This window comes from Homo sapiens, chromosome 5 (assembly GCF_000001405.40).
Source record: "Homo sapiens chromosome 5, GRCh38.p14 Primary Assembly".
Classification (NCBI taxonomy): domain Eukaryota; kingdom Metazoa; phylum Chordata; class Mammalia; order Primates; family Hominidae; genus Homo; species Homo sapiens.
In genome coordinates this window covers 93,270,040-93,295,881 of record NC_000005.10, presented here as the reverse complement: position 1 = coordinate 93,295,881, position 25,842 = coordinate 93,270,040, and the positions used below count along the sequence as shown (strand labels likewise).

The window sequence follows — 25,842 nt, the reverse complement described above, 5'->3', positions numbered from 1 at the left end:
GTAGCCTGGCCTGTCTTGGCATTCTTGATTTTACTAATTCTCAGCTTTCTACTGTGGTCCTTTCTCTTCCTGTTTACTTCCTCAAATCCTAACCACTGTCCAGCCTCTTCCCTGTGAGATTTTTCTGCTTGTTTCCATTCACTTTGATTCCCTTTCATTTGTACTACTACGTCGCGTCTTGTCTTTAGATTTGATGATCATCATGGCAGCTTAGGTAGAATGGAAAGAACCCTGGATTGAAGGCAGATAAACTCAGTTCCAAAACAGATTTCAACAACATATTAACTCTGGAGCTGGAACAAGTCATTTCACCTCTCTGTGTCTTTCTTGCCTTTTCTATAAAATGGGGATGTTAACAAATGAGGTAGAAAATGATAAGAAATGTGAAAGCACTGGCATGTAACAATATCATAAGTGTTATTTAAATTTGATTCTTCAAAATTGTTTTCAACTACTTTATATCTGTTTGTATGTCTTCTGAATTTGGCTTCTGGAGAGTGAGTATTGTGTTTTATGTTCCTCTTGCCTTCTAAAAGCCCTGGATATTGTTATGTAAAAATTTGCAGCCAATAAATAAATCTGGAATAAAACTTGTATTTTGGTAACTTGGCCGAGAGTTGTCCAACAAGACATGTGAAAGCTAGTTCAATCTCAGACTTTGAAAATACCAACAGTAGAAACAAATGAACAAACCACAGCCATCTAAGACTTAAGTCTTGTATAGAGACATCTCACCCACACAAATTCTTTGGACAAAATGTTACAGCTTTATATAAACTATTAGACCTGATAAAAATATAAGATATCATTTACTGAATAGTTCATCCAGTTTTCTTATAAACTAAATATATCAGTTGTAAAGAAATAAAATAAAGATCTGAAGACATCCTAACCACCTCTACCCAGTGTTGTTTCTAATAAATATTTACTATTCCTTCATAGATTATTCTTTTATTTATTTAGCATATATATATATATATTATTTTTAACTAAGGGCAGGTGTTGTTCTAGCACTTTACAATTATTAATTCACTTCATTCTCACTATCTACGAGGCGGACAGTGTATTATGGTTTTTTACTGATAAGAAAACAAATGCACAGAGGGCTGAGCAACATGTCGAGGGTTGCACAGGTAGGAAGGTTGGACCGAGATTTGAAACCACGCAGGCAATTGGCTCCCAGAGTCCCATCCTTTCAACCAACAACCTGTGGTGCTTCTTTTGAATCTTTTATGTTTTTGTACTTTTCTCCTTGTTTGTACCACTTTCATCGACCCTTGAATGATAGCTAGCAAAGCTCTAGGATACCATAAATATTACTCACAGTAATCACACTCTGCTCTATGCCTTGACCTGTTGGGTTGGAGGTGGGGCTGTCATACTCTCAGAGGAAAAATCTTCACAGGTTTATGGGGTTGGATAATTAATTTCTCTTTTATGGGAGGGTAGAGGTTGTTCCTCTCATACACAGAGGGTGTTTTGCTTTGCCTCAGAAATTAAGAAAGGAAAGGAGAGTTGACTCAATTGATAGTCATTCTTCTGGTTACCACCAAGAATTTCAAAATGCATGTAAATGCAGTGTCAGAACAGAATTGCCTCAGGCAACATATTTCAAAAGGTGGATTTGATGGCAGCAAATTATATCAAGTTGGCCAGTTTATTTAAGTATATTTTGCCAGTACCAAACTAGTTGCCTGAATTGTAACTTTAGATTAGAAGCAGTTTGGCACTTCCTGAGGAGAGGACTTAAAATGGCCAATGTGTTCAAATAGCCTATTTTTCTAGAGCTTTCTCATGTTTAGGTCATGGGTCATCATGCCACTGATGTCACATTGTTTCTCCTTTTTTTTCTGTTGGGATATTTCTACCTGCTTCTATTTCACAGTAATATGGATGCTGCAATTTATCACTCAGGTGCTCAGAGAAGTTACCATTACTTCTGATGTTGTTATAGTTTAGCAGGTTTCTTACCTCAGCCTAATTAGTTTGGGCCTCTCATGTAGAAGGGCCTGCTAATTTCTTATTAGCCTTTGCAGTCACATTGTATACTCATAGGAGAACTGATGCGGTTTGGCTCTGTGTTCCCACCCAAATCTCACCTTGAATTGTAATAATTCCAAAGTGTCAAGGGCAGGACCGGTGGAGATAATTGAATCATGGTGGTGTTTCCCCCCATGCTGTTCTCATGATAGTGCATTAATTCTCATGATATCTGATGGTTTTATAAGGGGCTTGGCTTCTCCTTTCAATCAGCACTCATTCTCTATCCTGCTGCCTTGTGAAGAGGTGCCTTTCGCCATGACTGTAAGTTTCCTAAGGCGTCCCCACCAATGTGGAACTGTGAGCCAATTAAACCTCTTTTCTTTATAAATTACCCAGTCTTGGGTATAGCAGCATGAGAAAGGCCTAATACGAGAACCTAGCTCAATGAGCCATTTTTGTCTGCAAAGAATTTTATAAGCAAATAGAGGCTGGCTACTCGGGAGGCTGAGGCAGAGAACTGCTTGAACCTGGGAAGCGGAGGTTACAGTGAGTCGAGATCATGCCACTGCACTCCAGCCTAGGCGACAGAGCAAGACTCCATCTCAAAAAAAAAAAAAAAAAAGAGAGAAAATAGAGGCTGGGTGCAATGTCTCACATCTGTAATCCCAGCACTTTGGGAGGCTGAGGTGGGCAGATTACTTGAGCCCAGGAGTTTGAGACCAGCCTGGCAAGAGGGTGAAACCCTGTCTCTACAAAAGAAAAAAAAAATTAGCCAGGTGTGGTGGCGCATGCCTGTAGTCCCAGCTACTTGGGAGACTTAAGTGGGAGGATCATCTGAACTTGGGGAGGTCAAGGCTGCAGTGAGCCATAATTGCACCACTGCACTCCAGCCTGTGTGACAGAATGAGAGCCTGTCTCAAAAAACAAAAAGAAAGAAAATAGAAATACTTTTAATTGTAAGAAGTATTTTAAAACCCAGATTCCTGTTTTATAAATGTAGATTCTAATGGGGTTTTAAAAGTCACTATTTTACATTTGCTAAAAATAACCCATATGTGTTATTGGTAGGTTTTCAGTCTAGGCCTACACTTTACTCTTCATAAAGGTAAAAGGGGAGGGTTGATACCTTCTCATTCTTCAGTACATGGAAAGGCTGTTGCTTTCATTAATTAAATATCTGTGTAATTCTCAAGGCAAAATGGCTGTTAATAAAAAGCATAGTAGAGGGTATCATTATCAGTCTGCAAACTCAGATGTGGAAGAAATATCGTATTTCTTTGTTTCTTTGGGATAACTACCATCCATCTCCTAGCCATCTTGTGAGCCTGACAAAAAGGATAGTCCCAGATTTAGGGTTTTCTCTTTTGCTGTCTCCTATGTTGTGCAAAGGCCCCAGATGCACTGTGTACTCTCTGACCATCACTGGCCTCTGAGGTAATTACCTTTAAGACATCCATTCTGTCAGTCTGGATATTCACTGCTGATCAGGAGGGTTTTTTTTTTTTTTGCCTTACTTCTGTACCAGGAATCTTTGCCAAGCCTATGAGACCCTGTGTTTGCAATCTGGTCTTATAAGCCACACAAAGCCCTCCTTTCCTCATCAACCTGGGTCTTGACCTTTTGCAAACACTACCATGGAACAGTGCAGGGATCCTACTCCTCGCAGTAGCCCCTGGGCTTTGACCTCCTTGCATTGCATGGGAACTCTCCCTCTTACTCTTCTCAAAGCCATTTCTGTCTCTTCACAATAAGTTCAAACTTTCACAAAAGACATGAAGAGCAATTGTCTTCTGCAGCTTTTGCTTTTTGCTCTGTCACAAACCAACCTAGAGTTAAGAGAGCCCAAAACCTGGCCCCTGGTAGAAATGGTAGGGGAATGAGGGTGGGAAAGATAAATGAAGAATTAAACCAAAATGATTCCTTGGTTAATAATTCTACCACCCTATGACGTAAATAAACAAATGCTCTTGTGCTAGCCTTCCCTTTACTTATGTTATGTCATAACATCTCACCTCAGTCCCACGAGGACAGATTATTGTCTCCATTTTACAGATGAAGTGTTGTTCAGTTACCCTCCTACAGCGAGCCACGAGGCTGCTGAGGACTAGCCCAGGGTTTCAATTCACTGTCAGCCTCTAATGCTGATACTCTCTTTAAAAACATGCCTCAAATGTGAGACTGACCCAGATTTTTCTTTCTGTTCTTTTCTTTTTGAAGAAAGCATTTCCATCCCTAGGGTATTTCTGCCATATTAATAATGTAAATGGAATCTGACGGTCTCTTTTGCCTGGGCTTCTGTGGGCTGCCTGCCTTCCTGAGGCATCACTTCGAAGTCCTAGAGAGGTTTATTCTGCTAATCCCTTTAGGGCAGAGTTTCCCCAAAGGATGCTTCCTGAAGGGGTGTGTGGTATTTCAACCTGTGCTAGGTGAGTGTTCTTAAATGTCAGCGTGCTTCTTGATCATCTGAAGGTTTGTTAGAACACAAATTTCTTGGCCTCACCCCCAGAGTCCCTGATTCCATGAGCCGGAGGTAGGGCCTAAGAATTTGCATTTCTAACAAGTTCATAGGGGATCAGAAGCTAGTGGTCCAGAGAACATACTTTGGGAACCAGTATTCTAGGTGGTAATGGCATCTTTAATTTAATTTAATGGCACGAACATGTGCAGTTCAGTAGAGTAAGATGAGTGTTCTCAGGCCTCCATTACTCAAGGGATTCATCTCAGCTCCATATTGCTAACTACTGTAGAGGTTAAATATTATCCAGTTTAAAAAGGTTTCTCTCCAACATAGATTATTTAATTTACACCTATAATGAACTGTTCCTTAAGGACAAGAAACACACAAAACATAAGGATACTGAAACGCAACAAGTTTGAGGAGGAGTATAGAAATGATAATTATTCTGCAAATTTTCCTCAAGATACTCTTCGACAGTTGCATATGTTGTATTCATCTGATCAAATTCTTGTACAGGAACCAAAATTAGTTTAGTACTGTATTTAAAAAGCTAATGTTAAAAAGAGAAAATATAGCTTTCCAGTTGACTTTTCATTTACAACAGCATACTCCAGTGTAGTTTAATTTCTATCCACATTTAACTGTACTCATATAAAAACATGTTACTTTAAAATTGTGTTACTCAAGAAAATCATGCTCTTTACTACACAGATTGAAGTTCATTAAATAACATAAATTTCTTGTTAAATGTGAAAAACTAAAAAAAATTGTTTATATAAAATAAATTGTCAAATAATTCATTAAAATGAAATATATAACACTAATAACTCACTAATCTAAAATAAAAATATACCACTCTTTAGGATATAAGATGCAAAAATTATTTATAATATTGCTAAGGATGCTCAAGAGGGTAAATAATCAGACTTCTGTCCTCTTAACACACGCTGAGCTCTGGCTACCACCCTGCTGATTTTTCTTTGCTATCTTCGTGCCTCTCCCCTGACCAGGCATGCCATTCATGAGCATTTTTTATCTTCCAAATCCTCCTTCTGTTATGAGAATGAATATTTTCTGCCTAGTTAAATTGTGCTGAAATTGACACTTGTTTATGTAATGTGTATTTCTGCCACTGAATTGTGAGCTCTCCGCTAATCATCTTTGTGACCTCCTTATTTAAGATAGTCAGTGTTACACTTTTAAAGAAATGGAGTGCCTTCAGGTCTATTATTCCATTGAATCCCCACAGCAATTCTGTAAGGGTGGTATTTGCCTTGTACTGAAAGCAAAGTGACTACAGAAAATGTCAAGATACATTGCATAGCGGCACTAAGGAGAATTGCAGAACTAATAGGAAACCATGGCATCAAGCCAAAGCAAATTGACAAGCAAAATATAGGTAAAGAAACAGGCTTCACAAAATGATTGTTGCTACAGACTAGGGAAAAGTCATTCCTAGTAACTGGGGTAGCAGGGTCTTCTGGCATACATTTTGGGAGGATGTATCTATGTATGGAGATGCCGTGGGTAGTGATGTCTTCTGTCATCTGTGAGGAAACATGCCTGTCTTCTGAAGAAAATTGCCTTATCTGTAAATAGACAGATTAATGCTGCACAATTATGAGGGGTTGGTTATGGACACTTGCAATGGGTTGGTTTCATTAGGATGACTTATGCTAACTAGTGCTAGGTAGAAGAGAACAAAATCATGCAAGTAAAAGTCAAGGCAAGCTAAGTTTATTAAACTTCACCAAAGCAAGACTTTTGATATTTATATTTCTTTCTTTCTAATGCAGGGAGACGGTGTCCTGGCAAGAGCCCCAGGATGCCCTGACTTTGTCATCTCTATGACTTTGAGTAAACTTGTTCATTTCTTAGGACCTCATATTCAAAATGGATTAATGAAATCTGCCCTATATGGGGTCTTGTGAAAATAATTTGAGGCTGGGTACGGTGGCTCATGCCTGTAATTCCAGCACTTTGGGAGGTTGAGGTGGCCAGATCAACTGAGGTCAGGAGTTCAAGACCAGCCTGGCCAACATGGCGAAACCGTGTCTCTACTAAAAATACAAAAATTAGCTGGGCACGGTGGCACACGCCTGTAATCCCAGCTACGCGGGAGACTGAGACAGAAGAATCTCTTGAACCTGGGAGACAGAGGTTGCAGTGAGCCAAGATCAATAGAGCAAGACTCTGTCTGAAAAAAAAAAAAAAAGAAAGAAAAAAATTTGAAGTAACTTGTATTAAAGTAATTGTATATAAATAATATAAATAAAACACTTGAATTATTTATTTTATGCTAAAGATATAACACATTCTAATAACTTAAAATTATATTTTTATTGCTTTGTTTTGTTTTTCTTTAAATACCTACTTCTTGTAGACTGAATTTCTGCTCTGGTCCTCTCAAGTTCTTCCTAGGTTTATATTTGAACATAACTACATGGGTTCTCATGGTTGGGACCTGGCTGCTGGCCTCCTCTGACATCGATAACTTTGTATGCTGCCTGCTATGAACTGAATTGTATTCCCTCAGATTTAGTGTTTAAGTTTAAGTTCTAATCCCTAGTCTTTCAGAATGTGACTGTTTCTGTATTTGGAGGTAAGGTCTTTAAAGTGGCAGTTAAGGTTTCATAAGATCATTGGGGTGGGCCCTAATCCAATCTGACCGGCATCCTTATAAGAAGAGGAGATAAGGACACAGAACCAGAGAGAAAAGACACAGAAAGACAGGCATCTGCAAGCCAACTGCACTGAAACCTTCATCTCAGACTTCGATCCTCCAGGACTGTAAGAAAATAAACTTCTGTTGTTTAAACCATCTAGTCTGTGGTACTTCATTATGGCAGCCCTAGCAAACCAACACACTGCTCCTGTCACAATACGTCAGCAATCTGCCAGGATGTACATTTATAGTCCACAGAAGGAAGTTTTGGAGGTACCGACCTGTCTTGATTTTCTCCTATTCTCTGTTGCTGGGACCACTCTGGACTTTTTTCTTTGCTATATTTGGTTTCCGGGCCATCTTTTCATTGAAACTTGAAATAGGTCCAGAGGATAAAAAGTCTATCAACATTAAAAAAACATTTTCCCCAACATTATATAGTGAGTGTGAAACTAAAGAAACCCAAGATTTGGGGAAATTTCTAAGGTCAAAGCAAAAATGTCCAGGCATAGGAATAAGACAGATGGGACTATCCTGCAGAATGATAACAGCATCTCGTGAAGAGTTTATTGAAAAGTAGTAGCATCATTAACTTTCAAAATCTACATCCAAATAATATTATACTATTGTATAATAGTGTAAGAACTTAAACAATAACTTCTATTTCCTCTCTTCAATTCTTTGCACTATCATTGTCATATGTTTCACTTTTACATATATTGGTAAATCCCATAATACGTTGTTAATATTTTTGCTTTATTCAGTCAGTTATCTTTGAAAGAAATTATAAAATTTAAAAAGTGTGTATATTTACTACTTTTTAGCACTTTTCATTCCTTTGTGTAGGTCCAAATTTGTATCTGGTATCATATTACTTTTATTGGAGAAACTTCTTTTAACCTTTATTATAGTGTAGGTTTGCTGGCAATGAAGTTTCTCATTTTTTTGTTTATAGGAAAGAGGCTTTATTTCTCTTTCATTTTTGGAAGTTATTTCCCTGGATATAGAATTCCGGGTTGGCTTAAAAAATTTTTTAGTACTTAAAAGATAGCATATTGTTTTCTTCTGATGATCACAGTTTCTAAAGAAAAGTGTGTTGATATTGTTTCCCAGCATATAATTTATTTTTTTCCTCTAAATACCCTCAAGACTTTATCTTTGATTTTCAACAATTTGACCTATAATGTATCTATGTATTCACTCCCTCACTCCTTTCTTTCTCTCCTTTTTTCCTCTTCCCTCCCTCCCTCCCTCCTTCTCTTTCTCTCTTTCTTTTTTTTTTCATTCTGCTTGGGGATCTCTAATATTCTTGGATCTACAATTTGTTGTAATTTTTTAGCTTTGGATAATTCTTAGCCATTATCTCTTTAGATATTTCTTCTGTTTTTGTTTTTTTCTGTTTTTCACTCTATTTTTTCTCTTTGTGTTTTAGTTCGGATAATTTCTATTGGTCCGTCTTCAAGTTCACTGATTATTTCCTCTGCTATGTCCAGTTTGCTGATAGAACTGTTGAAGGCAGTCTTCATTTCTGTTGCCATGTTGTTATCTTAGCATTTCTAGTTGGTTTAAAAAATAATTTCCGTCTCTCTGCTGGGATTCCCATCTATTTGTAAATATTGCTTACTTTTCCTACTAGATCCTTTAACATAATAATCACATTATTATAAAGTCCTTATCTAGTAGTTCCAATATTTGGGTCATCTCTAGGTCTGGTTCTGTTAATGACTTTACCTCTTGACAGTGGGATTTCTTTCCTTGCTTTTTTATGTCTTGTATTTTTAAACTGAATGCTGAATATGGTATGCAGGAAAACACACAGTGAGGTCATCAGTATTTATATTTAGAAATGGGCATATCTCTTTTTCAGTCAGAACATTAGTATGGGAGGTTTAATCAATCAGAAATAAAGTTTGATTTTTGTTGCTGCTATAGTTAGCTGTCTGCAGTGCAACACAGTCTCAATTCCTCCAGCATCGAGCTTCTTCTACCTTGTTTATAGGGGACCCAGAATCTGGAGAGTTTTCATTACTGTTCCTGCTCTACTAGCAGCTTTTAACAGGCCTCGCCCCCCTGTGCCATAGAGTGTCTCCTATTGTATTCTTTCCGCTCCTTTAATGGAAGACTGCTATTCTTGTTATTTAATATGAGATTTGTGGTAGAAACAGCAAATTCTTGGTTCTACTGGTCCATCCTCATTCTTAGGCAAGTCTTGTGTTCTTGTACCTCAGTGTGGGGCTTCTCACTCTGCTTTGTATCAGAGGAGGTCTTGGGAAAAAGAATTTGCTGCCCCTCCTCCAGTGGTAGCAGATCTCACCATTGTATGAGCACAAAAATCTGAGCCAGAGCAGATTTTATGCCTCTCTCTTAGGGACATACAGGTTTTACTTCTATTTCTCCTTCAGTGGTAGTGTACTTTTGCCTGGAGCCAGTGGAAAGGATGGTACCCTTCCCTTAGTGGGCTTTACTTAGTTCAATATACCTGATCATGGCATTTGTGGGGGCAGTTTCTTGTCTCTTTGTTAGGGGCAGACAACTTTTGTTTCTATGTTTCTACCTTTTCATTAGTGAGAAGTTTCTTCTTCTTCTTCTTTTTTTTTTTTTTGCCTGGGACATGGGACAAGGGCATTTTGGACACCTCTCCTAGAGACAAACAGTGGATCTTTGCCTGGGCCCTGAGAGGGGGCAGGGTTTCCTGTCCCTCGTCTAGAGACTGAATGCTTTTGCTTTCTATGAAATAAGTTGCTGAGGGTTTGGGGCCTCTACTCCACCAAGGGTGACCTCCTGCAGATTTTCTGCTTTGCTCCAAAGCTTTCTCAGGAGTATCTGGTATGGAAAAGAGCTTCCAAGTAAGTGCAGACTCCTCTTCTATCTAGAGCTCCCAGGATTCCAAGCTTTCATGTTAGCCCACATTAGGCCTTTAAAAATTTGTTAAAATTTTAGCTTTCTTCTCACCCACTTTTATGTTTGCCGCCTCTTTCCCCCATGTTCTGCCAAAGGCAAAACAATTCATGTGTCCTGTTTATCCTCAGAGAGGATTGTCACCTTTTAGAATCAGTTACTTCTAAAGGTGGAAGTTTGTCTTTCCAATTCAGTTTTCTGGTGAGATGTAGATGACTCAGCTTTTTCTCATTGTTGGAGTAGGAGCAATTTTTCTTGCAGCATTTACATCCTAAGCCTTACCCCAAACTTGGATTGGGATTTCAAAGGCTGAGTAGCAGACAAGAAAATAGGGATGGTAGGGCAATGGAAAGCATCCTGAATGAAGGCATAAAATGTGAAAAGGTAAAGAGGCAAAAGCAAAAGTTTCTGTCTGTGCAAAATGATTCATCTTTTCTAATTTATTTTGGGAGTCAATGGCAACATGGAATTTAGTTTATAGATATTATCCTACAACCAACTTGACTAGTCCATATCTATCTATGGGAGAGAAAACTGTATTTTTATTATTTAGGATTGTTTTAGTATGGATATACTTGACTTTGATTAATTTGGGGGGCTGTCTGAAATATTGTGCAGTAATTAGGTTGATTGCTGGGTATGGCTTATGGAATCAGTCTTGTTGGTCTGAGCATATAAATTATGCTTCAAAACCATTTTCAGAATTAAATTGAGGTTTTGGTAAGACACATAAACTCTTTGAGGCCAAAGTTTCAGTGTGACAGCTATACTCTTAAATTTTCATGTGTTAATTTACTTTTTTATGCATCTAAACCATTTCTTCCTAACCCAGCTTAAAACAATAAAACAGCAGCAGCAGCAGCAGCAACAACAACAATCCCTGAATTCAGTCTTACGTTTTATTCTTTGACTTACTCTTAGGTTGGGAATAGTAGGCTTATATTCCATGTGACATGTGACATATAATTTGTTTCTATATTTAGACTTTTCTATGACTTTCCTTGTTAGTTATTCTCTATTTTACAGGGAACACTAAAATTGGTCCTGAAAACTGGTGGTTCCCAATAAAGAAATGGGGCACAGCGTATGCCATTTTTTTTTTTTTTTGAGACAGAGTCTCACTCTGTTGCCCAGGCTGGAGTGCAATGGCGCAATCTCTGCTCACTGCAACCTCCATCTACTGGGTTCAAGCAATTCTCCTGCCTCAGCCTCCCGAGTAGCTGGGATTACAGGCGTGTGCCACTATGCCTGGCTAATTTTTGTATTTTGTTTTTTTTTTTTTGATAGAGATGGGGTTTCACTATGTTGGTCAGGCTGGTCTCGAACTCCTGACCTCGTGATCCCCCTGCCTCAGCCTCCCAAAGTGCTGGGATTACAGGCGTGAGCCACCATGCCAGGCCATGTATGCCCTTTTAAGGAAAATTTATTAACAAGATGATTCCAAAATGAAACATTCTGTTGTAGTGGATCGAAGATGGCCACAAAATCCTTGACATTTTTCCTGTTCAGAGGTAGGTCTGTGTCCCCTAGGCTTGAGTCTGGGTGATCTCTGTGACTGCTTTGACCAATAGAACATATGGAAGTACTGCAGTGACAGTTTCTGGGTCTAGGCCTTGAAAGATTAGAAGGGTATACTTCCTGCCGCTTGGAATTTCCTTTTTTGCAGCCCTGTTCTACTGTGTAAGAAATATAATGATTCCGAGATTGCCCTGCTATGAGGAAGCCCAAGCTAGCCATGTGGAAAGGCAGCAAAAGAATTGCCCAATATGAGACCTGTACTAATTTCTGACCTACAAAATCATAAAAAATAATAAAATGGTAAGTTACAAGGTTTAGGGGATAGTTTGCTCTGTAACAATAGACAACTAGAACTTTAATCTTAAAAGCTTATATAATAATGATGTAAACGTCTTTAAAAAATCCTTATTTATAATCATGTAAAGTTAATTTCTGGCAAAATCTAGAACCTTCTAATTTGAGTGACTTGGACAAATTTAACATTCTGTTTGGGTATTCAAATTTAACTATTCAAAAAGTGAATTTATATGCTTATATCAAACATAAATGTTAAATTTCTTTAAAAATGTATTTTTGCTCTCTTTTTAAAAATAAACTAAATGAGTTTGACATATTATGGTATTATATTGTATTTTTCAGTAAAATGAAATGTAACAGTGCCACAAATATAGATCTTTTCATTCTGTGACTTGTTTGAACAAAAATTTTATAATATATAACATGGGATTTAAAAAGGAGAATGTGGATAATACAGAAAGGCTGCCTCCTTTACTGATAGTGCTTTGGACACAAAAGGAATAAGTTGTCCAGTTTATATGTTCATTTTATAAAGCTAAAATATCCAGATATATAGAGAAAATAATTATTTCTAGATTTCCCTCTTTGAAAGGAAACATAAGATATTAAAGATCAGTTGATGTCACATGTCTCTATCAGTGGATATAAATTAAAATTTAGCTTACAATGTAAGTGAGACCTTACAAAATATAGAATAGCATTTTCATGTGGAATTAAAATGTTCCTAGAATCTTCATTTGAAAAATTATTCTTAAGCATATAGGAGCTAATAAAGAACTGTTTTCATAATGAACATTTTTCTTTTCTTTTTCTGATATCTATGTCAATAGAAGAGAACCCCCCAAATAAGTGGTGCTCCTTCCTTATCATGCAAATGTGATTCCAGAGCGCATTTCTCTGTCTTAATCACTGAAATTATTTGGTTATCAAAGCCATACACAGTTCATGATTTGACTTTCATCCCTTTCAGATTTATCCATGATATTGGTCTGGCCTTGAAAACATTAAAATGGCCTTTGTTTGATATTCAACATGTAAGTTCAGAAAGACGTGTTCATTTTTAAAATTGAGACTGAGTATTTAGTGTGATAGAAGAGTCTTAACAAGGCCTGCAAATAGAACCACATTTTCCAAGGGTCGGGGTAGGGGTGAGGATAGGTTGAGTAAACAATAAAATGACGGAGGGTGTATTTGTGTGTGTGTGTGTGTGTGTGTGTGTGTGTGTGTAGAGACAGCATGTGCAATTGTTGAGTGTGTATGTATATATGTGTGCATACATTCAACTTTCTTCCCCAAAGTGGCTAAAAGACATTCTTTAAAATAGAGGGTATTTAGAAAAGAAAATATTTAAAGTCCTTTTTAATAGAATTATTCTAAATTTGCTAGTTTGGGAAATAATATCTTCCAATATGCTGTTCCTAATAAAGAGGCAAGAGGCCAGATGTTCTGTGACAAATCAGAATTGTTTTGACAATGGGAGTTGCAGAACCTGGTTTGGAAGCATCTGGACACTAAGAGATTAGATGTCATCTGCCCTCTGTTAACCTAGCCCTTCTGTATGAAGGTATTTTTCTACATTAAATTCATATAAGAATAACATTATTTTATGTTTTCAAAATAGAAATTAAGTTACTTTCTGATCAGTGTGTCCAGGCTTTCATGCTGCTTTCTGACATCATCAGTGAGTGAATAGTTTTTGTGCAATTTCTGCACGTGGCTTCTCCTACAGAAGGAGTTGTATTTATTTGATTTCTTTTCTTGCTCTGGGTCTTGCGAGGCATGGTGATAGGGCTGGTCTTTGGGGACTCCTAAATGTCCTGGCAGGGTGTCCTAAACTAACATGGGTCTTAGAAGAGGAGGTGGTTTTCAGAAGGCTCCACCGTGCCAGATGGCCCAAATTCACTCCATGAGACACAGTGTTCCAGGGGTTGTCACACTGTCCTTGACACTGAACAGACCTTACACAATATGAGAGAGCACCAAGATTTCTTCTGGCCTCAATGAATAATCAATTTAATGACATTTCAGAGTATAAAATTGATAGATATTTCTTACGGGAAGACATCACATACAAACTCAATTTATTAACAAAAATATCTTTTACCCTTTAACTTTTTCAGGACTGCTCTATTAATATTTGTGTTCACCACCATGGCACGTGTATACCTATGTAACAAACCTGCATGTTCTGCACATGTATCCCAGAACTTAAAGTATAATAATAATAAAAAAATTTGTGTTTACAGTTCTGATGTTTGTGTGTGAAATAGTTTGCCATTATGCATTCTTAAGAAGGCCTTCCCCAAATGTTCTTTTCTAACGAATATGTTTGTGCCTCTGCCTAAGAAACCCTTTGAAACAACCTGGCTTGATACATCTCTAGCTGAAAAGCTGGTGAACCTCCCTGACTCCTAATCATGTTACCCCTGCCCATGCTCCTGCTTCTATTTTTGCCATTTTTCTTGGTGCACCCTCATGACTGGTGCCCCCTCATGCTAAACTCTGGCAGCTGTGGTCATGCAATCAGACCACCGCCACCTCTTTAGCCTTATACTGTCAGGAGTGTGCTCCAGGGACCAGTGATGCTGAAGAATTCCACAGGTCATCCTCACTGACCTAGAAAACTGGAGAGGTTCTAGCTTTTGCCCACGGCTTGCGGCAGTGACACAGCTCTGTTTAGCACGGCTAAAGCATTCAGCAGCCCAGGACATGGTTAGAACGGCCACCTCAATGTCATGATGGTGTAGGAATAGCAATCTGTGTTCTTAAATGTAACATAAAAAACCCAAGTCACTCCAACTGCCATTTTCCCCTTTTGCACTTTGATGACAAAGCTGTAATGCTGTGATTCTGTTGTGGGAAATCCACAATTCATTCCAAATTATTTTCCAAAAGGTAGGAGTAAGCAAATAGCACAGACATCCTAAAGGACCTCAGCCAGTCAAATGTGGGTTCTCTTACTTCTTGTTTGCAGTTCCTCACTTTGATAAGAAAATCAACTAAGACAGACAGACAGAGGTTAATTCCCTCACCTCGAAGCTGAGCTGTAATCCAGGCTATTGTTCTTCAGTGAGCTTGCACTTGCTGGAGACGTGTTAATGTCTTGATGAAAGGACAGGGAAATTATCACTCACTGATTTGTGTTTTTAAATTTGGAGTTTCTAAAGTAAGACTACTTAACGATACAGGCATGCCCATTTCCAGGACTGGATCTGCAGCTCCTGCATTTGATGTGTAACCTTGAGGGCTTCCTGTGAGGTAATTATCGTGCTGGGATGAGCTAATCTCCCATAGAAGAGTACACCTGCCTCATTCTGCTAACAAATAGGCCCCTGCCTTCTAAAGACTGCCTGAGCTGACTTATTATATCTCCTCCATCAGCAGAAAGACTCATATCATCACTGGGCCAAAGGTGAATTGCCTAGAGACAAAGTTGGAATGAATTTTTTGCAGTCCCATTTCGCCAGACATTCAAACCACTTCATTCTGAAGAGTGGAGACCTTTAACTCTGTCACATATTTATATATGCTTATAAGGCCAGGGAAGGGTCTTTCTGCAGACCTGCTCCAGATGAATGTATCAAAATAGCATTCCAGAAGAAACTGAGTCTGCCTCACAAACCTTTGTTCCCCAATGTTAATACTCTGAGAGAAGAGAAATACAGTTGCTGGCTTGTTTTTAGTTTACTTGCGTTTTGGAAGATGGATGTGTATACATTTGTCATGTGGTAATGGGCACAGAATTTCAAGTCCAAATATAATATGGAGCTGTGGTAGGAGTGAGGGCCACATGAATGTCCATTTAATACTGAAAAACGGACTTTTTAGCTGATGCCTGTTTTCCGTATAAAATGTGGCTTTGTTTTTTTTAATAGTTTTTCTTATTCCCTACAGCAAAAGAGGCTAATATTCATTTAAAACCCAATAACAATTAAAACCCCCAATAACAATTAAAACCTACAATGAACAACTGCTCTAGCTTTGTTTATTGCATGCATAAATAATCATACTTCAATGAACATGTTAGTATCTATGATCTCTTCCTGCATTAAGGTTGCCTCGAGACTGCTTGCTTTGGCTACTGTAAATGTGACATGAATTACGCTCAGGAAAATGTGTCTAACATGCTGGGTTTGAAGTAAATTATTTTCTTCTAATATACCTACACAACTGTCACAAGGAATTACACTGCAGATTTAGTGATGTTAAGTGTCAATTGTAATTTGGTGACAGCCATTTTATTGGCTATGCATACTGCTCTGCTAGGACTGCTTCTCAGTATGGAGGCCACCGTATCATTAAAAACCAGTGATCCTTCACTGATGACATAATTTGACTGGCAGGGAGAGGAGCAGAGAGGGGCTTGCTTCCACCTGCACAGAATCTGCTGTATGTCAGAGATGAATTTGCCTTCAAATTAGAAACAGCACTGCAGATGAGGGGCTGTGATTTTGCTTGAGTTCTTTTAAGGCGTTTTTCTGGAATGGTTACTGAGCAGCTGATAGAAGTCTCCTTTAATATGTCAAACATATATATTATGCAGCCTGTAAACATTTCAAATATTTTTAGTCATAGCTTACAGTGAGTTATCTATAAAACAGTTTCAGCTGAATTGAGCCACATGTATTTCTGCACACTCATCCATCCATTCTTTTGTCTATAACTCTGTCTTTGGCATAGGTTTCAGGAATAAAATTTATATGATAAAGTGGTAACCAAAGAGAAAAAAAACCCCTAAAACCCAACCCAACACACAAAAACAAACCCTAACAAAAAACAAGCAAGGTTTCATATTAGCCCAGTGTTTCAGCAGGTGGGATAAATCATTGGAGCTATGTAAAAATCTACAGTAAGAACAGAACTATAATCATACATTCTGAAAATTTTATAAACTGACAATTCAAGTTATGTGTTTTATGCTAATATACATTGTGGTAGGTTCTAATAAACTGTGACTCACTCATAAATAGTAGGAAAGCTGACAGCATTCAAACGCGAGCACATACATAGACTCACACACACTCCACACTTATGCAGGAAACAGGAAATAGATTCCAATACTTGCTTAGTGAATTTAAATCAATATAGCTGCATTCCATTTTCAGTATTTAAATTAAAATTTTTTTTTGCTGCAAGGCACTGTAAGGAACAAAGCAAAGTACCTTAAAAGAAAGTGTATCGCTCGTAATTTTAGCTCATTTCACACCTATTTGACAGCTTCTCTTAGCCAATTGGTTTCATTCAAAATGCTGAGAATATTCACCTATTAGAGTCCTGCCCTTCTATGTGGGGACCATTCCTCTTAGATACACTTTATTAGCTTCCAACATGGAAAAATAACTTTTTCCCTCCTCATGTGACTGACATTTACCACTATTTTCCTCTTCTCTTAACACAGCATTATTTATTTATTTATTAAGAAAAGAAACTTTCCAGAACAATAAATAGCATAAATTATTCAGCCAATTTCAGTCCAGCCACATAAATCATACTCAAGCAGACAAGCTACTTGTGACAAATGCTTTGTCTGAGAGAAATATACCACTGAAGGTTTAATCAGAGGCTCTAAACATTTTAGACTTCCCCATTTTTATTCTTGGCCAGAAACTCTATTTCTCCATCTACAGAGGCTCTTGAGAATGTTCTTTTTTTTCCCCATGAGAATATTGTGACCATTTTCATCCACAGTAGGGAAGAGGGTGTTAATAAAAGTGCACTTTTCTGAAGAAAAATTCAAATAGGGGTTGGCAAATCTTCTAAATTCTTGAAAGCATATTTCAGGGCCAACTGTGGCTATGTTAATAGCTTTTCATATGACGGGCCATCAAGTCCTACTTTTCATGACTGGTCAGAGGGTTCCCACATTGACCAAAGAAAAAGTAAAAATTTGGAAGCAGAATGAGTCCAGTCTAGCTGGCAAAATCGGGAGACAGGGGTTCCTCTTTTGTCTTGTCATGGACTCTTAAGGATTCTGAGACTTCAGTTTTTTTTTATCTGAAGCTTCCTCCTTTACTGCCTTATTAATATAAATGGGATCCATAAAAATGCTTGATTATACCATGGTAGGCTAAAATATGCCCATAAAACTTCTTTTTTTGGTAAGCTTCAAATAATGGTGATTTTTTTTTCCAGTAAGAGGAATGAAATCTTAGTTCCCCTAATACTTTAATTGCCAACTTCTTCCTTTCATAATGTTTAACCAATTCCTGGACGGTCAATGATTCAAAGCATTTATGTTTCTGGGGACATGCACTATTCAAAAATACCTTGAAACTTAAAAAAATATATACATTGTAAGTCCACACCTGATTTTAATAAGCATTTACTCTGAGGGAAAGGAGATTGTGTTGTCTACTTTTAAACCATTAGGAAAAATTGGGAGAAGGTGGGGATAAGCTGGCAGTGGCAGTGGCAGTGGCAATGGCAATGGCAGAGCATTCAGGGATTGTGGTGTGGGGGTACAAAGGCAGGGGACTTGTCACAAAAATGTGTCTACACCTATGACACCCCCACAGTTGGTGTGGGAAGGCAGTCTCAGCAGGCCAGCACCTCCAGCGTGTGTGAAGGTACCCTCAGGGACCCCAGAAGGAAAGGCACCACCGGGACATCCCTGGGGGCCTGTTTCTGCAGTGGTTTCAGGATTCAGCCTTGCTTACCTTACAAGCTCTGAGTGAATTGTGGCCCAGGCAGCTGTGGCCATGGCCCACGTGACCAAGTATTCGTTTCTGATGCACATGTGGCATTTTGCCATAAAAAGGTACAGCACATGGATCTCCGGAGGAACATGCATCAAATTTATTTTCTGACTAGTAAATGAATAAATTTTTCTGACTCAATTGGGAATGAAAGGAAAATAACCTGCCTTTGGAGCTATCCCAAGATCTGATTCCTTTGGAGCGGTTCATGTAATTTAACAACAACAACCCAGTCATCAGAGAACTGCAGCGTAGTATACAGCCAACTATAAGCCTCGCAGATGAGGGAACTCTGGATCCACAGGGGCTAAGAAGAAGTAGGTAGCTTTGAGCAGTGCTCGGTGAGATAATTTAGCTCAGGGAAACGTCAGTAAAATTCCAAGCACCCTGTTTTAGATAGACACATTTAAATCCCCAGGTTTTTAGAAGATAATAGTAGAATGGACTCTTAGAAATACTTTGGTTGTGAATATTGTCTGTCCAGAGTTTGTGTCCATTTGGTTATATTTGTCATCTATTTTATCAGGGTGAGTATGAAAGAAATTGGGGAGAATCCATAGTAGCTTAGTGAAGATGCTAAAGAAGTCAGCTGCAAGAATTGGGATCTTATCCCAATAAGATTTCAGAATTTTTTAAATAAAAGGAAAAAAGTCAGTTCAATGCAGAATTTTATGAAGTTTTCAGTGACCAACTGCTCATTCTGAACTTCATTTCTCTTAACTAAGTTATCATTGTCCAGAAGTAGGGTGAACCTATGTCCCAGTTTGCCCAGGACAGTCCCAGTTTATGTCTAATGAGCAGGCTTAATTATTAAGAGTACCGCCTTTTATTCTCAAAAGCGTCCTGGTTTGGGAGATAAATTAGTCACCCTAACCATAAACAAAGCTCTCTTTGAAGTTAATAGATTTATATAAATGATGAAAGCTGGAAAATTTTGATTTGTTTTTCAAATTTGGTTTTCTAAAGTCATAGATTGAGCAGGCAGGGTACATGGAGACCAGAGCAAACCATGCGTGGGTGAGAACATGCCTAGGCGCTGTGTCTTTCTACCAATTGCTCTCATTCTGTTTTGTATTTTTTTCTCAGAACTTCTTTGAGGATATTTTGAAATGTTTTCAGATAAACTATTTAAGACTTCAAACAAATTTCAGATTTTCTTTTTAAGTTGTAATATTTAGAAAAAAAAAACCCTGAAGAACTGGTTTTTATGACTTGTTTAAATTTTTGTAGAGTGTTGGGAATGGAATCAAATTTAATTTTACTTCATTATGAGAATTATCTTGGGTCGTATGTTAGAATAGATTCTAGTCTTCTGAGGGCAATCAACAGTGAATTATAAGTAGGGTATGACCAACAGATTCATTTTTTATATGGCATGGGAGAAGTTCTGGTTCTGCCAAAGTTAAAAAAAACTGTCAATGAGTTAACTTAAGAAACAATACGATTAAAAATATTTGTAAACAGGGACACTATTTTAAAATATTTGAGCAAGATTTTTCATAAAATTGGAAATCTCAGTTAATCATATTATGTTAATTCCTTAGATGTTAAAAATTACACTTCATTGCTTGACAGACTTTTATGATTAAATACATACTGGTTAATGTAAGGTTGCTGTAAATAATGATTTTTGTGTGTTTTTTTTTTGCAAAGCATGCATTAAATTAATTACTTTAAAATGTATACATGAAGTGATTCATTCAAGGTCTTTGGGAAAACAGGAAATGTAGAGTACTGGTATGTTTTGTTAGGAATATTAGCTTCCATTTTGGTTCACTTATTTTCTGTGTAACAAAACTCTAAATTGTTAATTGAGGAAACACCTGTTTTACCTGATTTTCTTAAGTGCAGTGGATGGATATTGAATGCCCTGAAGCAAAAGTCTTATTAAACCAAGTATCCCATGATATGGGCTACAATGGATGGATTATTGCATCCAAGAGAATATTATACTAAAACTTCACTGCATCATGGTCCTCAGGGGCTTTGCTATAGAATTACTTGTAAATGGAAACATTTTATAAAAACATCCTTCTGATGCTTCAGAATGTCACAGAATTGGATCAGAAGAGATATTTTGTTATAGATAAGAAATTGATTTGGAAGAGAAAAGAAAGAAACAAATGGCCATTTCTTGATGTGAAAGAAAAGGAAATGACAGGCCACACAGAGCCCATTATATTTAACCTCTCTATAAACTGCCTGGAGAAACTTAAATGATAGAAATGTCCAAACTGTGTGCTGTCATTTTCTTGGCCCAATCATCATGTTATACTCCTCTGGCATAGCCATAGGTGTGTTGGCAGCATGGGACCTGAGCCAGCCCAACAAGAGGACTTTGAATACTGGACTAGAAACACTTTCTCTGAAAAAGTTTGAACTTCACTTATAGCTGAAGCCATCCGACTTCCCCCAAGGGAAGCCAGCTTTAGGGTAGTCTGTTGGACACTTTCAGGGTAATGTTACTGATAAATTTGCTGTGAGGATTTAATATGGAGATGCTATATTGTGAAATTTTCAAGCTTTATCATGACTTAAAAATATGGGCTTTTGGTCAATAAAAAGTCAAGCTCATGAGAACAGGTTGAAGGAAGATTTTATAACCTAAGCAAGTAGCTCTTACAAGCAACGACTCAATAAATGTTTGTTTTCTTTCTCCATTGCTGATCAGTTTCCATTCTCTAACTTGTCTCCACCCTTTCAGTTTGATACATGGATTGGTTTCCTTCTAGGCTCCATGGCCCAGTGCTTGGGAATTCCCTATCTATCTACCAAGGGGCATGAGAAAACCCCATTATCAACCTTCGCATGTTATTGCAGCCGATGAGTGAACAGTACCCGGCTATCCCATGTTATTAGACACAGCAGTTTTACCTAATCACAGAGTAGCTGGACATTCCAATCATTCCTTAGTTAAGTACAAATTTCCTTTGAGGAAAACCTGATTCAGGGGCACAAGCTGTGGGAGCTTGTATATTCCACAAATGAGCACAACAAGATTTTCCCTTTAGCATGATTTCCAGAACTCTGCCTGTATTAGTTCGCTTTAACACTGCTAATAAAGAGATATCCGAGACTGGGCAATTTACAAAAGAAAGCGGTTTAATGAATTTACAGTTCCACATGGCTGGGGAAGCCTCACAATTATGGCAGAAGGCAAGGAGCAGCAAGTCACATCTTACGTGGATGGTGGTAGGCAAAGAGAGCGAGAGCTTGTGCAGGGGAACTCCTTTTTATAAAACCATCAGATCTCGTGAGACTTACTCACTATCATGAGAACAGCACGGGAAAGACTTGCCCCCATGATTCCATTACTTCCCACCGGGTCCCTCCCACAACACGTGAAAATTAAAGATGGCATTTGGGTGGGGACACAGCTAAACCATGTCACTGCCACTCCCCCAACAAAAGGCAGAGTCTAGGTCTCTTCCCCTTGAAGCTGGGTGGGCTTTTGTAACTGTTTCAAAAGGAGATAGAGTATGACAAAAATGATGCTATGTGATTTCCAAAGCTAAGTAAAAAAGAGGGGAGACAGCTTCTGCCTGGCTTCCTCCCTGTGGACGCTCTCCATGAGAACCCAGACAGTATGCCTCAAGGAGGCCCAGGCTATGTGGGGAAGAACCTGAGCCCCTTCCAGCTAGCAACTGGCACCAACTACGTGCCCTGAGAGTGAGCTGTCTGTCTTGCATGTGGATCATCCTGCCCTCCACTGGGCTGTCCCTCCTGATACTGTGTGGAGCAGAAATGAGTTTTCCCTGATGAGCCCTGTCCAAATTGCAGATTTGAGAGCAAAAATAAATGACTGTTATTGTTTAAATCATTTTTTTTGTGGTTTGTTATGCAATTGATATTAATCCTCACCAGTGTATGAGGTCGTGCTGCCGTCATGCCCACTTTATAGAGAGGAAACAAAAGCATCCAACAGGTGAATAACTTGCCAAAGTCACCCCAGTGATAAATGCTATAGGCAGATTCTAGAGCTGCCCCCACAGTGCAGCTTTTCACAGAGGGTAGAGCACTAGTGTATCAGTTATGACTCACAGTATGGTGGTAAATAGGGTGAGCTCTGGAGACAAACCACTGGAATTTGAGCATATAAATAGTGCAGAGCACTGCTCTTAGATCTTGAGGGAATCAGTGTGGAACAAAACAAACAGAACTCCCTGTCCACATGGAGCTTCCTTTCCAGTGTTTTCGGGATAATAGTAAAGAGTCCTTAGCATATGCTATGGTTTGAATATTTGTCCTTTCCAAAACTCATGTTGAAATATAGTTGGCATTGTAACAATACTAAGAGGTAGGACCTTTAAGAGATGATCAGGCCATGAGGGCTTTACCCTCATAGATGGAATTAATGCCATTATAAAGGGCGAGTTTGGCCCCCGCTTGCTCCCTCCTTGCCCTTCCACCTTCCGTTATGTGATGATATGGTGAGAAGGGCCTTGCAAAATGTTGGTGCCCTGATCCTGGACTTCCAAGTCTCCAGAGCTGTGAGAAGTAAATCTCTGTTCTTTAAAAATTATCAAGTCCCATGTATTCAGTTATAGCAGCACAAAACGGACTAAGACAGCATATAAGGAATTTAGCACAGCGCCTGGCTCATAAATGAGACATGAATATTGGTTGTTGGTATAATTATTGAACATTAAGAGAGTATGGTTATTATTTGTGACCCTCATGTTATGAACAGTGCCGCTTGTCCATTTTAGCAGCCAAATAGCTTGGATGGGTAACAACATTTGATTTGTGTGAGCAGAATGTGAATTGGAAACTGACTGAGATCATTCTAGCAAGTCATATAGTACCTGGTATTTAATATTCAAATGTTATATTATGGCCTCTAGGACTTTGTGGACCTATAAAAAGGGGATTATAAAAATAATTTTATAGATATTGAAAAAGAAAGTTCAATAGAAAAATAAAGTAAAATATGGACTATCTGTTGTGTAATGGTGGGCAGGGACTGTGTTGATGATTGCAGTCAACCGATAGCTGTCAGCTTCTTGGTCTGTCAAATCTTTTCCCAGAGCTGCGAAGCAGCAAAATTGGCTGGTTTAAATTTCACTTCCTTTTATTGCTCCCACGGAGATGCTAATGAATAATAGACAAGGAGAGGCAGAGAACCCAGGTAATTAGTCTGTTGTGGATGTTTAGAGTTGGAAGAGACCTTTGCGACTCCTCTGATCTAGTTGCCTCATTGCAGAGTTTAGGAAACTGAGGCTTAGAAGTGCTAAATGTCCTCATGACACGTGACTGGTGAGTATCAGAGTGGAAACAAAGTCTTGAGGCTTTGGCTTCCGGTCCTGCACTTTGTAGCTTTTCCTGTTTTTCGCTCAAGCTTCCCCTCTTCTCTCTTCTCCTCTCCTCTCCATATTTTCAATTCTTTTTTTTTTGAGACGGAGTCTCGCTCTGTCGCCCAGGCTAGAGTGTGCGGTGGCGCGATCTCGGCTCAGTGCAAGCTCCGCCTCCCGGGTTCACGCCATTCTCCCGCCTCAGCCTCCCGAGTAGCTGGGACTACACATATTTTCAATTCTTAATCATCTGGGGCCTATGCACAAGTAACTAAGTGAAATTAAGATTTCTTTTTTAATATTGTGGTCAGTGAACGAAGGACCAGAAAGGAGCCAGGATTTTCCTTTAGCCAGAGACTAGGAAATCCAGCCTCTGTGCATGTGCTTAGGCAACTGACTCCTCCTGGAGTGCCCAGTGCCCACTTTATTCTCACCCACCTCTTTCCCCACATAAGGAAAGCCTGTTCATTCTCATAGTCTGACTGTGATGCCATGAAGTCTTCTCTGACCACCTGGCTGAGCTATTATGATTTCTTTCTCCTTCTATCTTGTATTACAGCCCTACATAGTTGCCTCTATTCTAAATTGTAAGCTCCTTTAGGGTAGACAGGCATTACAGCAGATGGGATAATGTAGTAGCAGCCATGACTACACCAATCTGTATGTGATATGATATGTATTGCATGTTCTTCCTAGTTTGGTAAGAAGTTTTCAACATGTCCCTCTCAGCACTTTGTAGTTAGCCACCTGTATGTTATGGTCATATTTTCAGAGTGCTAGTAGCAAGAGTAATGAGGTAATAGAGGAAAGTACTTTTTATCACACAATTACTAATATGCAGTTAGCATATTAAATGATTGAATTTGTTCACTTTATAAACACTTATATCACTAAGTAAAAGAAAGCATGTTAGGTGTTGTTTTAAATAAAAAGTGGAATAGTGGAATAAAATTACAGTCTTTTCTACTAGTGAATAATAACACGTCCAAATCTTATTTTCTATAATGCTTTTTCTATCCCTTCCCATAAGGAGATGGAAGTCGAAATAGGAGTTGGAGAGGTAGGTTGTTGTAGTTTTATTTCCCTTTACAGCCGCTCATTGGAAACAAATATAGAGAAGCAGCTGTGCTTGTGTAACTTGTAACATATGTAGCCAGGATTAAGAACCGAGCAGTCAATTCTTTAGGGTTATCTTTTCTTTTTCTTGCCACCTTGGGCATCAGAACCTTGATTTCCATCATAATTTGTGTCCACCTAGCTCAGATAGCTAGCTGAAACAATATTTGAAAGGGCTATAAAATTGCACAATTATAAAGAGAGTTGAAAACCTTAATTGAATAAAATAGACCCTACACAAGACACAAGAATGTGTGTGTGTGTGTGTGCGTGTGTGCGTGTATTCTGAATATTTGAGATTAATTTAATTTTTCTCCACTAGGAACTAGTAAACTAGTAGAAGGTAGTTTAGAGAATTTTTTTTCTTTTCTTAGATGCTCTAAAGTTATCTTCTTTTTTGCCCAGCTGTATTAATTAGGTTACTCGAAGAGTCAAATACACAATCATTTCAATAAAATGTGGTAACTTCTACAACTGAGATGTATATAAAGATCACAGGGAAGGAATCCTGAATTTGGCCTGTGGGAACCAGAGAAATTTCTTCACAGAGTAAACTTTCAGTGGAGCGCTGAGGATGAGAAGGTGTTTTCTACATGTGCAAGTGGGAGTGGGGAATCTTAAACTGAGTGAATGGCATTGATTCAATTACTTACCCACTGAACAGGCATTTATTGACCATCTTCTGCATGCCAGAAACTTCTACATGTGGTGGATGCTGTGGGTACAAAAATGAAGATATAGTCCCAGATATCAAGAACTTGCTTGGGGAGAAAGACACAAGTAGATGATTATAAAATAAGATTGTGGGCCGGGCGCAGGGGCTCACGCCTGTAATCCCAGCACTTTGGGAGGCTGAGGCGGGCGGATCATGACATCAGGAGTTCAAGATCAGCCTGACCAACATGGTGAAACCCCATCTCT

At 38.5% G+C, this 25,842-nt stretch overlaps 1 annotated feature.

The window, feature by feature from the left end:
- Window positions 14,744-17,726: an enhancer, noted in NCBI's record as "VISTA enhancer hs1060". NCBI's record gives its function as "enhancer in: hindbrain (rhombencephalon)[6/14] | forebrain[10/14]" and the evidence as "EXISTENCE:transgenic organism evidence [ECO:0001131][PMID:17130149]".